This window comes from Homo sapiens, chromosome 1 (assembly GCF_000001405.40).
Source record: "Homo sapiens chromosome 1, GRCh38.p14 Primary Assembly".
In the NCBI taxonomy this organism is placed as follows: domain Eukaryota; kingdom Metazoa; phylum Chordata; class Mammalia; order Primates; family Hominidae; genus Homo; species Homo sapiens.
This window is the reverse complement of record NC_000001.11, coordinates 147,598,033-147,614,744: the sequence shown is the minus strand read 5'-3', so window position 1 is coordinate 147,614,744 and position 16,712 is coordinate 147,598,033. Positions and strand designations below refer to the sequence as shown.

At 44.6% G+C, this 16,712-nt stretch overlaps 2 protein-coding genes across 2 annotated transcripts in view, besides 3 other annotated features; both read right to left on the bottom strand.

Moving 5' to 3' along the window:
* BCL9 (BCL9 transcription coactivator) overlaps positions 1-16,712 on the bottom strand; it is an 84,716-nt gene that overhangs the window by 11,472 nt on the left and 56,532 nt on the right. The window contains exons 2-6 of the mRNA NM_004326.4: positions 9,834-9,968; positions 7,879-7,961; positions 2,856-3,167; positions 1,546-1,862; positions 129-318 (exon numbers count right to left, since the gene is read on the bottom strand). Of these exons, the coding sequence (NP_004317.2) occupies positions 129-318; positions 1,546-1,862; positions 2,856-2,908 (560 nt within the window). The 5' untranslated portion in view covers positions 2,909-3,167; positions 7,879-7,961; positions 9,834-9,968. The remainder of the gene's footprint in view (positions 1-128; positions 319-1,545; positions 1,863-2,855; positions 3,168-7,878; positions 7,962-9,833; positions 9,969-16,712) is intronic.
* Positions 2,021-2,315: an enhancer, noted in NCBI's record as "tiled region #10305; HepG2 Activating DNase matched - State 5:Enh, and K562 Activating non-DNase unmatched - State 23:Low". NCBI's record gives its function as "activates a minimal TATA promoter and a strong SV40 promoter by Sharpr-MPRA in HepG2 and K562 cells {active_cell/tissue: HepG2 | K562}" and the evidence as "EXISTENCE:reporter gene assay evidence [ECO:0000049][PMID:27701403]".
* Positions 2,949-3,155, bottom strand: LOC128071544 (uncharacterized). The gene has a single exon (NM_001414892.1). The coding sequence runs from the start codon at positions 3,153-3,155 to the stop codon at positions 2,949-2,951; it is 207 nt and encodes a 68-aa protein (NP_001401821.1).
* Positions 14,256-15,305: a silencer, noted in NCBI's record as "silent region_1282". NCBI's record gives its function as "represses an Ori minimal core promoter by ATAC-STARR-seq in GM12878 lymphoblastoid cells {active_cell/tissue: GM12878}" and the evidence as "EXISTENCE:reporter gene assay evidence [ECO:0000049][PMID:35858748]".
* Positions 15,336-15,415: a silencer, noted in NCBI's record as "silent region_1281". NCBI's record gives its function as "represses an Ori minimal core promoter by ATAC-STARR-seq in GM12878 lymphoblastoid cells {active_cell/tissue: GM12878}" and the evidence as "EXISTENCE:reporter gene assay evidence [ECO:0000049][PMID:35858748]".

Genomic DNA, 16,712 nt, shown 5'->3' with positions numbered 1-16,712 from the left:
GGGGAGGTTTTATGTTTTATCTGTACTGTTAACTTTAGGTGATAATAAAAGATCAATCTGCAATGGGAATAAGAATTTAGGTCCCCAGACAAGCCCTGCCCAACAGCAAGACACAGCCATCAACTTACTTATTGGCCATCTCAGTAGAAAACACGTACACCACTTTGGCTGGAGTCTTCTGAGCAGGTGTGGGCTCTGTGGCAGTAGTTTGGCCATGGGAGGGGGTAGAAGACCTGGGGGCTGTAGCATTTGATGGGGTCATCGAGTGTGGTGTGTGCTGGGAATCCTGGGACTTTATGTGGTCAGCAGAATTACATTCTAAAAGAATAAAATGACTCGTCACAGAAAGAATAAAATTTCCTTTCTTCTGCCAGCATATATAGCATCACAACACAAACCCACCTTGAGAATTTCAAGGAAGTACCACCTTGCTAAGAGGAAACCTCTTCTACTTATAAAATTTCAAATACTCTTCTCTCTCAAATGACTAACCATAAAGCAGTCTTCCCCAGCTTCCTTACCTCTCTATTACACCTCCTTCATATATTAGTGTAAATGTCCCTTCTTCTGGTAACCTTTTTGAAACCTCCTAGACTTAACTGGGGATGGATCTCACAGCCCTCTAACTTCTCTTATTTCAGCATTTATCATATTTTACTGTAACTGTCTAATAATCAGCTTTCTAGGTGCATTCAAATCTTTGAGGACAACAGCTGTATCTATCTTGCTGACCATGGCCCCCCAGCATAGTGCTGGCACTCATAGCAGGCCTGCCAAAACACTTGAGGGAGGAGGGGAGGAAGGAGGGGAGAAACAATCACCCAAGTTTCCATTTCTAATTTGGGTTGGAAAATCATACTTCCATTCCTTGAATACTAACTTCATGTTCTGGCCTACAGTTAAGACTTTTGGTCTTATACTAGGAGGAAAAAGCCTAAAACCACAGCTGTTGGTCCCATACCCTTCTTGGCTCACTCCATTTTGGTGCCTGCCAAATCTCTACACATCTGGTAGCCACTCATTCCTGCTACACTAAAATCAGCTGTAACAAATCTGGACTACTGCCAGGGCCATTAAGGCTTCCTCTTGTGTCTGAAGTCTGGCAAAATGGCAACTAGAGAACACAAGACCCAAGCCTTGGAGGATTGCTCTGATGGAGAAGAGAAGGGGATACCAGAAAAACTACCCCAGTGGGGGCCACTGGCACAGACAAACTAGAGCTACTGGCTTGAAACTAAAGTACAAACAGCATAGAGGCCAGAAACGTGTACGAACAGGGATAGGCCTGTGAAACATCCTACCATAACCCCTAAACCGTTGCATCCTTAAGGGCAAGAACTCCTCAACTAGGAGGTTCCAAACAATTCTTCAGTTAGTAACAAAATGAGAAGAAATAGTTCCATCATAAACTGTGAGAACTCATGAATCTGATACCTACTCTCCCCACTTGTCTGATATTAGGCTCTCTGGCCTCTGTCGAATGTCAGAGGCCTTCCCTCAGGAACACCTACTTCCCTCTGAGTCTCAAAGATCTTATAGACATACCTTTAATGTCAGAGTCATCGTTTGGAGTCCCAGGATCTCTCTGATCAAAGGAGTCGGCGGAAATACTTCGCTCCCTTTTCCCCTTGCCCTTGGCACCATTTCCAGCCCCATTCTTCAGCCCCATGCTCCCACCTGGGCCAGGGAGTGCTTTAGGGGTATGGCCCCCACTCTTGGAGTCACAGGGGGATGGCTGGGATTGGCTGGCTGAGCCCCCCTGTTTACCCTGATTGGAGAATTTGGAATCCAGCTGGGGGTTTCCAGATGGGGACATCACTGTAGGGGGACGGACCATCACCTCCTGCTTTGACTTAGGGCTACTAAAAGAAACAAATAACAAAGGAAGATCAGACACCAGATACAGCTGGTCAGCACAAATTAGAGAGAGGCAGTTTCTATTGGGGGTCAAGGAGACCCTTAGGACTAAAATAACCACCCCATGATTCACCTCAGCCATTTGCTTGCTCCCGCCACCCCTGATCCCATCTCAGAGCTATCAACAGAGAGGAGGATCAAGCAGAGTGGCCTGCCAGGTTTCAGGAACCCTACAGTCACATGGGGACCCATCTCCAGGGCTTCTGTCAATAAAGGACAACGGTTTCTATGTACATAGAGAGGTGACTCTTACACTAAGACTAGCTCAGAGTAAACAAACAGGCATCGTTAAGATCAAAATACTACCCACCCCCAGGCTGATGACAAGGAACAGCTGTAGGAGAGCCTCACTTCCCTGCTGGAAAATGCAAGCTGGTCCCAAAGAGCACGGGAGCTGGTGACTGTCAGGTTAGGGAAATCCTCCAGGATACTAATCCCTCCCAACAAGCAGTATTACACCAAAGCAGATAAACCAACCACTGCCCTCAGGGAGTGAGGACAAAATTCTTTTAAAGTAACAATTTAACTACTGTGAAACCGAGGAAAAAGTGTCACAGTGGGAGTCCGGGGAATAACGTTTTAGTTCTACGACATTAGGCTTCCTCACCATTCCAGGCCTCAGTTTCCTTGTTTGCAAACTTAGGCAAACTGTACTGGTTGGTCTCTATGGTCCTTTCGTTTGTGCTTTGGCAGGGAGGTGCGGGGAGAGGTCAGGGAATGATGGACAAAAGAATAACAAAGGAAAACTCTAACATAAGCTTTGATTACACTGTATCCTGCTTACTGTTATATTACTATTTACTAGTCTATTTTCTCTTCCTTTCCCATTTGGGTTTCATTTATTTCTAATTCAACATACTGTTTCACCAATGAGTGTTCATGATGTGCCTATGGCATCCCCAAGGGGCTGCAGGAAGAGGCCCCAGCCCAGCCCTTACCTCTGTGTGTTTCCTGATGGAGAGCTCCTCACTTTAGGGTTACTGGAATGCATTGATTGAAATCCTGAGCTTGCAGTCACAAACGGGACAGGCTCACCGAGTTCCTCTCGGGTTGCAGCAGAAACAGCTGCTGGGGGCAGTGGCACTGGCCCACTGCTTGCTGGGTGCGTCCCTTAGCGCTCGCTGCCTGTATGCCTTTTTCCTCTTTGTTTTTCTCTGCTGTGGAAGTGGGTCCTTTCCCCTTGCAGCTCCAGCATTCTCTGGGTGCGTGCCTCCTGCTGCCAGAGGAAAATCTCGCATCTCCAGGGCATACTACAGGAAAAGGCCACCCAAAAAAAGTTGGGAGCAAAAACAGAGACATAAAACACCCTCACAACAGGATCAAGGTGAAAGCACTAGCCAACTCAGCGAAGCAGCTAGACCATGCCTCCACTTCCATCAGGGTGAAAGGGTGATGCTCCCATTGTGGACAAAGGCTCAGGGGCCACACCAGCTGGAGGGTGACTAGGACTTCCTGCCAAGCATGCAAGCCTCCCCCGCAAGCAGCATGGACCAGGCAAGGGTGAGCAGGTGAAAAAGGCAGTTTTCTCTTTAGCTATGTATTCTCCCTTACATTTCTGTAGTTTTGAATACAAAACCCTCAAAAACTTGTGTCTTTCTTTTTTCAAAACAATGCTTTGAAACCCCTAGGTACCGCAGATCCATAGTGACTATCTGGTGTTTCAGTTCTGATGGCAAACAACAGCACTGAAATGAAACAACCCCCCCAATTTCAAACCATGATGCAAATTAATCTATGTTTACACTCTCAGGGCCTTGGGGGCGGGGGGACTTTAAAGGAGGTACTTCTGAAATCAAATATTGAACCAACATCAAATACAATCAGTTCTGCCCCCTGATTTCCATGATCTTTCTATTAAATTATGCCAAGTATGTGTCTAGTGTTCTCACTGCTTAATGACAGGGACTGCAGGCATGGGTAAGCATGGGAATGATCCATAATTCTGAAAGTAAAAGAACATCTTTGAAGGCTAAGATATTTTTTGAGCCAATTTGCAAGGCTAATTTGAAGCATAAAGGTCAAGAAAATATTCCCAAACCTAGCTAGAGAACAAATGAGAAAGTCCTTTATTCAGGGAAGCCTAGACAAATTCAGGTAAAACCAAGACATACTTTAAGTCTCTGCTCCCTCCCAGGGTAATTCCATTATGGTTTTCTTGTAACCACTATCCCATTATCAACCCCCTTCCAGCTTCTAGTATCTTACTGACAAAGTATAGGAATGAAGGAGGAGAATATTAGGTGCAGGACTAGTGACTACAGAACCAAAGGGAGTTAGAAACAGCTCAGGTGTTGCAGCTTACATGTACTTTGAGAGAATGGAGACTGGGCTAAAATTGGGAGGATCAATTATATCCTAGGTTGTAGCACTATGATCACTGTCACATGTTAAAGGTCTATTTCTTCATTTAGAAATCTGCAATAGTCTCAGCTATTTTACCTGGGACAGTGAAAGAAATTTATGGAAGTTCTGAGTACACTCAATTAAATTTTTTCCTTTTTAAATAAAAAAGTCAGGAAAAAGAACTAGAATAAAAACATTATGAATGTTTCTATGCTGACCTCAGGAGACAGCATGTTAAAAAACATTTTGGTCTTGATCATATTTAAGGTTCTATTTTTATCCCCATCAGCTTCCAGCTTTTTTTTTTTGGTTTAGACTAAGAAATGGATTCTGGTTGTCAAGTTGGACATATATAATCATAAACCATTTTGTAACCTCTCAATGAACATTAGAAATCACTGGGAAAATAGAAGTAGAAAATGAATCCTGCATGGACAAAGCCATCAGAAAACATTTACCTCAGGAAAAGAAAAGCAGTTACCACCTATATAGTCCCCCTCCACAACTTCTTCTAGTACTTTCTGTCTGCATCACGTATTCTAGCACTCAATCACATGTCGTACTGAATAATACTAGGTGTATATTTTATCACCCTGTGAAAACTATATTCTTAGAAGCCAAGAACCTTGTTTTAAAGTTCTTTTGTTTTTCTATAATACTCAGCATGATGTACTAAGCATGTAGTTAGATCCTCTGTGACTTATTCAAGTTCTCCCATAACAGAAACACCTGGCATTTGTGTTACACACGTCTTCCAAAGAAACTCAAAACATTACAATTATCAAATCACCTCATTAATCTGCCAAGCATTTATGATGAGCTGGTAGCAAAGATTATTTCTAATAATAATGCTGTGAACATAAAACACTTTTATTTTCGAAGTACTTCTACATACAGTTTCATTTTCTCACAATTTGCCTGACTTTGATTGACAGGCATTTTAGAGATGAATGAATGGAGCACATGGGGTGTGAATGGCTTCTTCCAGGTTTCCAATCACTGCTCTCAGACCCTGGCTCTTTCCTTGAAGCCATCTTCCTTCCCATTACTTTATGGAGGGAGAGACAGCACAGAGGTTGAAATAAGCATGTGGGTTCACCCAGTGACTGGGATCAAAATCTAAGTTTTTCAATCCCTAGCCCAAGGAAATAAGTTGTCCCTACTTTTAGCCTTTCTGATGATAAAAACGACTGAGCAAAAAATCTGCCAAACATCTTCTATAGTTCCAAAGAATAAAATTAGGCTCTTCAGGAGGTTAGAGTTCAACTGTTTAACCACCTTTAAGGACTGGAAAGGATCCTCCACAGAATCATTATAGCCAGAGAGATTTTTTTCCCCCAACATAACTACATCTCCTAACACCTTAGATCTACTTATACAATGTTTTTCTCTTCTCTTCTTAAATTAGTACTTAAAATTTTTACTATGTGCCATGCATTGTTCTGAGTACTGTACAAACATGTTAACCCAGTCACAACAACCCCAGGAGGCAGGTGCCACCACTATTTCTATTTTAGAGATGGGAAAACGGGCTCTGCAATGTTAAGTAACTTGACCAAGCTCACACCCTAGTAAGTGGTAGTGGGCATTTAACCAGCACTCTGGCCACTCCGGCCCCAAAGTCTATGCTCTTCATCACTGTAGTGCCTGTTAAAGTAGAGCCTTGGTGGGCAAGGTGAGCTAGTTCATATAAAGTGCTCAGCAGTATAATGTAAGCACTCCAGTGTTAAGTATTACTATGACTACTACACTCTCTAGCAAGCACGCTGGCTTATCATGCCAGAAGCCACTTCAAAATACCTTCTACGTCTCCTAGGTACCCCGTTTCCTCCCTTCCTTCCCACTCCCAATACCTGGACTTGCCCAGTACTTAATAGGAAGAGATGTTGCCAGGCAGAAAGTTCTTAACTGCTAAATACACAAACCAATTTTCATCAATATCTATCTCCTCTTTCTTTTCTATTACTGAAACAAAAAATAGCCCACTTTCTCCCAAAAGTCAATCCAGCCACAGGTGGACTAAGCCTATCCCTTCCAGCCTTCTGAGAGCTCTCATTTTCCCCTCTGGCCATCCCCTCTGTCTGTTGGATCTTTCCAATCAGCATTCAGACAGGCTGTAGAATCTTTCCGTGCTAAAAAAAAAAAAAAAAAAAAGCAAAACAAAACCCAGGTCTAGCATTCTATTACCCCTTAGAGCCAAATTTCTCCACAGAGTTGACGAGACACAGGGTTCACTTCCTCACTTGCCATTCGACCTTTAATCATTTTAAACCAACTTCCACCCCCAGATCATAGTGACCACTATTTTTGTTAAGGTCACCACTGGCCACTTTGCTAATCTCATCTTACTCCATCTCTTAGATTCTGCCAGTTGCTCACTTCATTCTTGTTAACTCTTCTCCTGGTTTCCATAACACCTCATTTTCCTAGCTTTCCTCCCACCTCTCCAGGCCTTCTTTATCTGCTTCCTTTGCAGGTCCCTTTTTTACCTGATCTCTCAACTTTAGAGTTCCTCTGGACTCTACTCTGAGTCATCTTCTCTTCTCATGCTGCAAGTTCTCTCCATGCCAACAACTCCCAAATTTGCAGGTCCATTCCAGCAGATCTGTATACACATCTACCTGCTTGACATCTCCCTGGATGTCTCAAACTTAACAGGATCAAACATGAATTCTTCAATTCTGTGTATAGCCTTCCTCCTGAAACCTTTTTCCTTCAGTTTTCCATATCTTAATAAATGGCTCCTTTATCCACCCAGTTGCTCATGCCAGAAATTTGGAAGTAATTCTTGATACCTCTCTCCCTAAACTTCAACTTTCCCATATCAAGTTTGAATAGTTCTGTTGAATGAATGAAGTCTTGGCTTAAGTGTTTCTTTTTCAGAGGAGAAGAATCCCTTAATGCCATCAATCTACATAAAATTTTCTATTACATTCTTTTTAAAGCATCTAGGGTTTTTCAACATTTTTCATGCTTTGTAATTACATATGCAATTTATGTGATCATCTGTGTAACATTCATCTCTCCCACTAGACCATAAGCTCCATGAAGGTAGGGACCACAACTGACTTACTCATCTCTGTATACACAGCAATTACTATAGTGCCTAGCACATAGTATTTGCTTTAAAAAATTTTCATTGTTAATCAAAGGAAATGAAATCAGTATATGGAAGTGATATTTGCCCTCCCATGTTCACTGCAGCATTATTTACAGTAACTAAGACGGGATCAACTAAGTATCCATCAACAGAGAAATGGATAAAGAAAAGGTGGTATATATGCACAATGCAATACTATTCGGCCTTTAAAAAGAAGGAAATCCTGTCATCTGCAACAATGTACATGAACTTGGAGATAGTATGTTAAGTGAAATGAGCCAGGCACAGAAACACAAATAACACATGATCTCACTTATACGTGGAATCTAAAAAAGTTGGTAGTAGAAGCAGACAGTAAAATGGTGGTGACCAAGGGCAGGAGCTGGATGGGGAGGCAGCGGGAGGGTTGGGTGATGTAAAGAAAAAAAAATCGTTAAATAAAAGCTGAAGCTTTTCCCTAAGCTCGTTCTTCTAAGCCAGGCGTGTGCTCCAGTGCTATCAGCCATCAGTGTACTCACCAAAACCCCAAGGGTCACGACACTGCAGTGCTCATCCTGGAGGTGAGGAGTCCAGGAACCCCCTTCTCAAAGATGACCCTTGTCTAGACGAGGAAAAAAAGAAGTCCTAAGCAGATTTTTAAAAAAATCAACAACATCAATTTGTCAATGAATATCTTAAGAGAAAAACAGGTTTCTTATTTATTCCAGAATATCAGTTTAAGACGAAGCTGTCATCCCCCACACAAATAGAATCAACTCCCAATTTTTGAAGGATTATATCTGATCTGTAGCCAGTTCAAGGCTCTTGTGGCTTTTCCTCCTTCCCAACTGCACATTTTATTTTCAGAGGCTGGAGAAATATAAACTGCAAATCAAGTTTTCTACTTTTTAGAATTCTGGGAATTTAGTAGAAAGAAACTCCTCATAATTTTGCTTCTTTCCATTCCTTATTAGTATAGAGATTTGAAAGCTGACTGTAAAGGTGAGAAGAGACAAAATTCCAGATATGTCTCTGAATTTACAAAGTGAAGATCATTCACAGTTCTCCCTGCTCTCCACCATAACTCTACATCCAGCAAGAACATTTATTTTCATATACTTGTGGGGAACTTAAGAGCTGAATAATGTGGCCAGATGACTTCCTTTTATTCAGTGCCTACTGTGTGCAAAGTGCGGTACTGAATTGAGCTGGCTAAGTCAATAAAACACTAAGTACTGGCCAAGCAGAACAATTTCCACCATTAGTCCTTGTAAACTAGAATTATGACACTGAGCCTCCCTCTTTGCCCAGAATTTATAGTTTTGAAGTGGCAAGGGAGAAGCAAGTTGCAGACTGTCTTAGGGCTAAATTATTTAGGAATCTTTAGAAGGATTCCTAGAGAAGCATGCCATTAAGTTGTTAAATTCACAAATTAATCTAACCAAGCTCAGAATCACCTCTATGATTCCAATTTCAACTCTTTCAATGATGCTTTCCCATTTCCCTGCTCTAAGAAGTCCAGTTTATTAGAACGATGTCATGTTTAACAAATTTCATTTCTATGCTATGACCACTACTCCATAAAAGGCATAGTATCAAACTTAGAATGTGGAACTAAAAAGCCTCAGGATTCCATTCCTAGCTCATTCTTAACTTCTGGCATACCGACTACTAAAAGGCTTCCTCTCAGAAAAAGTACACAATAGGAAAAACCAATCTTTCCCCAACATGTGGAGAAAGTAAACTATGCAATGGGCATGTAGAGAAAACCTTGGTCCAAGCAAAATATTAATGTACATTTTAGTACTCATGGGGTAAAAATACCTCTGTCACCTTTTAATAGCTAACTTTAAGCAAATTAAATTTTATATCAAGCTAAAGATTTTTGACAAAATTCAAGCATTCAAAATGAATTCCAACTATCACCATCTGGAATAATGGCTACCCAAAATATTATTTCAGCACAGATGTCCCTTCTCTGTGAAATTCTCCTTGATTACCAACTCTCCTCTGTATGTCCTCCATGGCCCCCGGCATTATAATCACAAACTGTTATAACACAAAACTGTATGTGTAGACACGGAACTCTCTGAGGGCACTGTCATTCCTCCTCTCAGCACCTGATACCTGGAAGAAACTCAATCAATGCTGTTTGATCCATGTATTATAATGAGCTTGGGGCTTGTGTATTGCTACCTTTACCTTGCATTCACACACAACGATGGTATGATAAATACCTGTTTAACTTCTCACCACCTGCCTTTATCCTTGGCCCTATGAAATGAGTTATTGTACAAGTCCCTGCTCACAGAAAGGTGTAACTGCTCTTATATTTTTGACTTGCATTTAGTTTGATGACTTTTGCCTTGAGAATTCTTAGAATAATGAATAAACGTAGTTTTAACTTACAAGAGGCCCTATAGAAACAGAAACAAAAATCCAACATATTCAGATTGAATCACAAAAGGAACTGACTTATCAGAATATTCTTTACCTTTCAATATGTCCAATTTGCTATTTCTTCTACATCGGGACACGGAAGAACTTTCCAAAAATGATCTCTGCCACCCAATCAGATGGGAATGTTTAGGTCAAAGCAGAATGACGCCAACTGGGCCCACATTCAGTCCTATACAGATAAGGAAAAAGAAAAGTTCATACTCCAATTCATGCTGATTCCAAGGAAAACCACCCATTCCCCAGTGCTCTGCAGCCAAAGCAATCTTTGGAAGAAGAAACAGTAAGAAAACAGTTAGGTCAAAAAGGGAGAAGGAAGGCAAAACCACTAAAACTCAAAATACAAGAAGTCCAAGATAGGGTCACTGCAGCCCAAATCCATCCCACTGAGGCCTAACCACGCTAATGGATGACTGGGAGTTTAGAAAAGCAAAAGCCACCAGATACAAAAGCCTCATTTTAATCATTGTTTTTAACATTTTCCACCATCAAAAACAGTCATCACAGGTTGTGAAATGGACTTTTGTTTCATGTCTTCTCTATGCTCCTGTTCTTAGCATAGTGGAGATGCTAAAAAATACTGCAAAACCTAAAATGCAAGTGGCCATGAGATAATATAACTTTCAAAAATCAGTTGGTCTAGGGTAAGAGTTCTTAACTTGGGATCCCACGGACTCCCAAGAGGTCTGTGGATAGACCTGGGGGACGGGAAAATGTTTGTGAACCTCCTGGGGAAAGCTCAGATGTTCATTTTGACCAACCTCTAAGTAAAAATTTGCATGGCCTTCAATGGCGAATGGAAGTAACCATCCCTGGTATTATTAGCAATTCTGTGACCTTGTCACCAACAGAAACCACAAGACATTTTCATGTCACATAGTTGTTGCAGATATCTTGGCATAATATATACACTACTTCAAAAATTACAGTCTCATTAGACCTGCAGCTATATTTTATTATTTAATGTGTTATAAAGAAACATACTGTTACAATTAATATTTTGATGACTGTTTCCATTTGATTTATAATTCAATGTATTTTATTTTGTGCATTTAAAAAACGTTCTCAGAAGGGGGTCCTCTGTTTCACTAGATTGCCAAAGGAGCACATGGGACATTATAAGGTTAAGAACCCTGATCTGGCCGGGCACGGTGGCTCAAGCCTGCAATCCCAACACTTTGGGAGGATGAGGCAGGCAGATCACAAGGTCAGGAGTTCGAGACCAGCCTGGCCAACATGGTGAAAACCCCATCTCCACTAAAAAAAAAAATTTACAAAAATTAGCTGGGCATGGTAGCGTGTACCTGTAATCCCAGCTACTTGGGAGGCTGAGGCAGGGGAATTGCTTGAACCCAGGAGGTGGAGGTTGCAGTGAGCTGAGATTGTGCCACTGCACTCCAGCCTGGGCAACAGAGCAAGACTCTGTCTCAATTTAAAAAAAAACAAAACAAAAAACCCTGATCTAGAGCAAGTAATCTTCACCAAGGCAGACAGAGAAGTTATTCTGCCAACACTATTTCATAGCTGAAGAAAATTAAGCTGCCAGGAAGCCAGGAAACACATCCAAGGCCTCAGACATTTGGGGTTGGCGTAGCCCATGTTAGTACTCAGCAGCATCTATCTTCCATCTCCATGGGGACCTTTGCTTACATTTCTACAATTGTCATCACTATTACTGTCTTGCCACTAAAGGGAGAGAGGCATTACCTTTCAAAACTAATATAAAACAAAAACCCAAACAACAGAACAAGACAGATGTACAAGATACTCCTTTTTGTTCCTTGATCAAGCACATTACCAAAGCTGAATTTGGTCTGTTAGTAAGACTGTAGTTTTACAGAAATTGGAAGAGTTGGGCTACATAATCTCTCATTCTAAGAGATGTTCAGAGCACTTTGCAGTTAGGCATTAACCTGTTAGGCAGAAACGCCATTATGAGTGGTTAGGGCAGGTGGTTTTACTACTTTGTAGATGGGAGAACTGGAGAAATATAAGGGATTTGTTCAAAGTCACACATAAGTCAATGGGAGAACGAACTTCCTGATTCTACATCCAAGGCTCTAACTACTGTACCAAGTCACCATGAACAAATATTTAGTTTATTATAATGCTTGTGAAACATCTGTATTCTTTTCCCCCCACAAACAAGAGAGCATTTTCTTTTATTCACAGGAGCAGACACTTCTGAGGAAGCAAGTGACATACACTTGCCTTATACAATGAGAACTCTATGGAAATTGTTCTTTTATCTTTTAGCCAATGACCTCCCTGTCTATCTACCATCTCTTTTGAAACCATTATCATCTTATATTCAACATGGTTATTAACAAAATGTTTTAATGGTTCAATTCCAAATCTCTAAGTCATAAAACTTCCAAATCTCATACTCCCATTCCTCATATCAACTTTTCTCAAATTTACATTAAAATTTCTCTTCTAGGCCATGCGCAGTGGCTCACACCTGTAATCCCAACACTTTGGGAGGCGGAGGCAGGCGGATCACGAGGTCAGGAGTTCCAGACCAGCCTGGCCAACATGGTGAAACCCTGTCTCTACTAAAAATACAAAAATTAGCTGGGCATGGTGGTGCGTGCCTGTAATCCCAGCTACTGTGGAGGCTAAGGCAGGAGAATTACTTGAACTGGGATGGGGAGGCGGAGGTTGCAGTGAGCTGAGATCGTGCCACTGCACTCCAGCCTGGGCTACAGAGTGAGACTCCATCTACAAAAAAAAAAAATTTCTCTTCTAGCCGGGCGCGGTGGCTAACACCTGTTAATCTCAGCACTTTGGGAGGCTGAGGTGGGTGGATCACCAGAAGTCAGGAGCTCGAGACCACCCTGGCCAACATGGTGAAACCCCATCTCTACTAAAAGTACATAAATTAGCTGGACGTGGTGGCACGTGCCTGTAATCCCAGCTACTTGGGAGGCTGAGGCAGGAGAATAGCTTGAACCTGGGAGGCGGAGGTTGCAGTGAGCCGATATTGCACCACTGAACTTCAGCCTGGGCAACAGAGCGAGACTCCGTCTCAAAAAATAAACAAATAAAAATAATAATAAATAAAATAAAATACAATTTCTCTTTTTATCCAAGCCCTCAAACAACTAATGGAACCTTCATTGCTCAAAGCATCCTTATGCCATTTAACTAACAGCTCCTCTTATAAACCCATCTGTGTCTTTAATAGTTTGGGTGTTTTTCAATAGTGAATAAGGATGTCTTTCTTAAATTTTTATGTAGGGCCTTCACATTATTCACGCAAACATCTCTCCTTGCTAAAACTTTCCAATCACTAGTATTCAGTAGAAAACACAAAACAGGACAATCATGTTGCACAATTTCCACAAAGGTTCTAAACCCACATGAGTCTTACCTCCAACATCCTTTTGCCCCCTCCTCCCATCTCTCAATGATTTTACAATTTATCCTTACTGTCTGTTAGTTCTAATTCATCACTTTGCTCAGTGCACAAATCCAAATCTCTGCCCCAAAACGAACATTTAATTCCTGAATATATCAAGTGCTAACTAATACTCCAATACCCATCATTGACCAAAATGTAACTCTTTACATAGAAAATCATTTCCCCACTGAAATCACTGCCAGGGATTTACCTATGTTTGCTGTAATCAAAGTCAAATTTTGCATCAATTCTATCCCATCTTACAGACTCTCCACTAAGAGATAGTTATGTCCATTTCTCTAACTTATCTAGTAACTTTATTAGTCCCCAGCTGGACTCCAATCTAGGCTCTAAGTCTCTCCTATCACTAAAAACCCATTTTTCCTTCCCCCTCCTTCAGACCTCTTGGAGGACAGATTTCTGGCCTCCTCCTTCATGCTTGGTAGCCTTCCCATAAGGCCCCCAGCAATACTATTACAGGCCTCTGGCCCCTCCCTCTCCTTCCCTCTGGACATAATAACCAACCCTGCTGTTGTTTTACTTAGGATATCTCCATTTCACCAGGCTCACCCAACACTCATCAGTGACATCTTAATAGTCTTTGCAACTTTCAAAGGCCAGTGACTCAGGCTCCACTTTGGAAATCACTGGTGTGTCCCAAGACCCCCACAATGACTCAGTGACCTAGACATCACCAATTCACCTGCTTGGGCCCTTAACTACTCACACATTCTTCCTAGCTTCCACCTCCCCTACCCTTCAACAAGTCACTGGCCTGCAAAGTCCCCTTTACCTCTATCCATCTCAGGGGTCTTACAGACCTCATCAAACTCAATCCCAATTCCCTTATTTAGCTCTCCATCTCGCCCCTCCAACACTCCTGCATCCCAGGACCCTGGGACTGTCCTCACTCTCCTGGTTTAACCTCTCCAAGCACTGCTTGGGACACAACCTTTGAAAAAAAGAAGAGATGCCCTCTCTCTCCACCGCCCGTGAAGCACCCCCACCTCCCCCCACAGGTTCCTCCAGACTCGCCTCACTAAATCCGCAACCCTGGCCCCCGCCCCTTTTCTGCCCCCCTCCACCCCGCTCTTCGCGGCTGTGGCTACCCCTGCCCCCAAACCGGCTCAAAACACGCGGACGCGGACCTGGCCCCCACTACCCCCGGCTCCGGTCCTTCCCCTCCCCCTCCCCCAGGTGCCACTTACCCCGGAGGCAGGAGTGGGGGAGGGGAGAGGAGGTGCGGAGCAGGGAAAGAGGCTTGGGTCCGGGGCGGCTCTCAGCCCCGCGGGGCCGGGGCCAGCGGCAGCGGCGGCGCAGCGTCTCCCCCCGGCGGCGGCAGCGGCGGCGGCGGCGCCGTCCCACTCCGGCAAGCACACATAGGCTCCATTGTCCGCCGGCGCCTCCCCCTTTCCGGCTCCCCCCTCCCGGTCCCGCCCCTTCCCTCCCTTCGGCCCTCCCCCGCCGCACCGCGCCACGAAAGGTACAGCCGGCCCCGCCTCGGACGCGAGCGGAGGGTGCCCCCTCCCCACCGGCCCGACGTCCCGCCCGCGGGGAACCGGGACCGCCCCGCCCCGCCTCAGCGTCCGGCCCCGCGACCAGCAAGGGCCCGCCCCTCCAGGGAAAGTCGCTCGTGCCCCTTCAGGGAAAGTCGCTCGTCCCCCTCCCCAGACGCGCGCGATGGTACCAACCCGCCGCGGCCTCCTCCCGCCCCCAGCTTCCCGCAGGGCCCTGCCCACCAGGCAGCCGCACCTCCCGCCGCCCCGCCCCCGATATTTTACTACGGGCCCGCCCACCGCCGGCACCACCTCCTGGTTTGCATAGGCACGCCCGCCAGGGCCCGCCCCGGACCGTCACCCGGCTGGAGGGGACGCCCACTCCCCCCTTAAAGCGGCAGAGCTCTAGTCCCCAACTCCAGAGCCTCCTGAGGGGCCGGCGGGGCGGGAGGTTCGGCACGGGAGGGTCTCCTCTTCCCGTCCCCTCCTCCCCACGCGCTCACTCTCCCGGACCTTCCCGCCGCCTCGCGCAGTCCTGGGAGCAACCGAGGGGGGCGGGGGGCCAGGAAAGGCGCGGAGGGGGAAGGGCAGCGTGGAATTTGGCCATCTTTTGACAGAAACGAATTGAAGAGCCGGTCTTTCCCTCACTCTTCCCTGCTGCCCAGGTCCCGGCCTAGCCCTCAACCTTCAAGGCCACCTCCTCACACCTTCGGGACGCAGTTCCACCCCGCTTTCCTGTCCCTTCTCTCCACCTCTGAGTCTGCACCGCCTGGGCCATGGCCGGCTTTCTCCCCTCGCAGGAGAGCAGCCCCCACCCAGGACTGCGCTCTCCTCCGCCCTCTGCGAAGTGCAGGAGTCCCGCTGATGCGCCGGGGGTGCAGGGGTCTCCTTTCACATCCGGCCCAGCCCAGCCTGGCTCAGGCATCGCTGCCTGGTGCCCACAGAGGGAACCTCTGTCCAGGACCTCACGTCGCTTCACAGCCGGGCTAGCTCCCCTAATTTTTCGGAAGACCTCTGCTCTGAAGGGGTCAAAGCCTGAGTATCCCGGCGCTGTTGTGAGAGGGTAGCCCATTAGATTACACTTTTTCTCAGAAGGAAAAAATGACGGCATCATGGTTAGAGCATGTTGCTGAATCAAAGCTCAGATTCGGGCTATTCTGCTCCATCTGTGTGGCCCCGGTTGCTGCGGTGAACAACCGTTATTATAGATCTGTCTGCTCTGCACCCTCCCCAGAATACACTGTTGTTACACCTCTGTCCTTGTGCCTTGTGGGGTCTTGATCTAAGTTAGCTGCTTCGGCAACTGTGTGCACTGACCCCGCAGCTCTTCTGGATCCGTTAGGTGAAGACTGCCCATGTTAGAGTGTACTGCGTGTTCTCCCTGGAGACAGATGGAGGCAATATGGCCAGGAGGACGAGATAAATCTTCTGCTCTTGCTTCTATCACCCATGGTTTTAACCAGGGTACTTATTCCTGTGTCAGTTTCCCTTCCTAAAGGAAACCTTCCTTGGGCAACCTTTTAAGGAATGGTGCTAGTTGTAAAGGATGGTCAAGAGAGCCCTAAATGATAAAGCCGATCTGCTTTCGAAATCATTTAAAACTCTTTAACTGGTCAACGTAAGTTACCATAGCCGCCTCCCCTGCTTAGATCCTATGAAAAACTGTGGCAAGGTATTTTCTCTTTGTCTTCTGTCATGACTGAGGATATAAATTAAATAAAGAAGAAAGGCAATAGTTGGTATAAACAATATCAAGATCAATTGAAGAATTCCAAATAGAAAATAATTAAAATGCCTTTTGTCAAGTTTGGGGCATAGAATATTTGATGTAACATAGCTAAGAACCCCTGTAAAAGAAGGCAGGAGGAAAAAGTCAGGTATGGACTTACGGACTTTTCTTATGGTATTAGAAAAGACAACCAAATCAGCAATATGCAAGAAACATTTGGGATTGCTAATGTAGGTGGAAAGAAGGAACTCACAGAACTTGTCTATAAGAGAAAACCACTGCCAAAAT

Bases quoted from the DNA above. Each gene is read 5' to 3' on its own strand.
- LOC128071544 (NM_001414892.1), bottom strand. From the start codon at position 3,155: ATGCGAGATTTTCCTCTGGCAGCAGGAGGCACGCACCCAGAGAATGCT.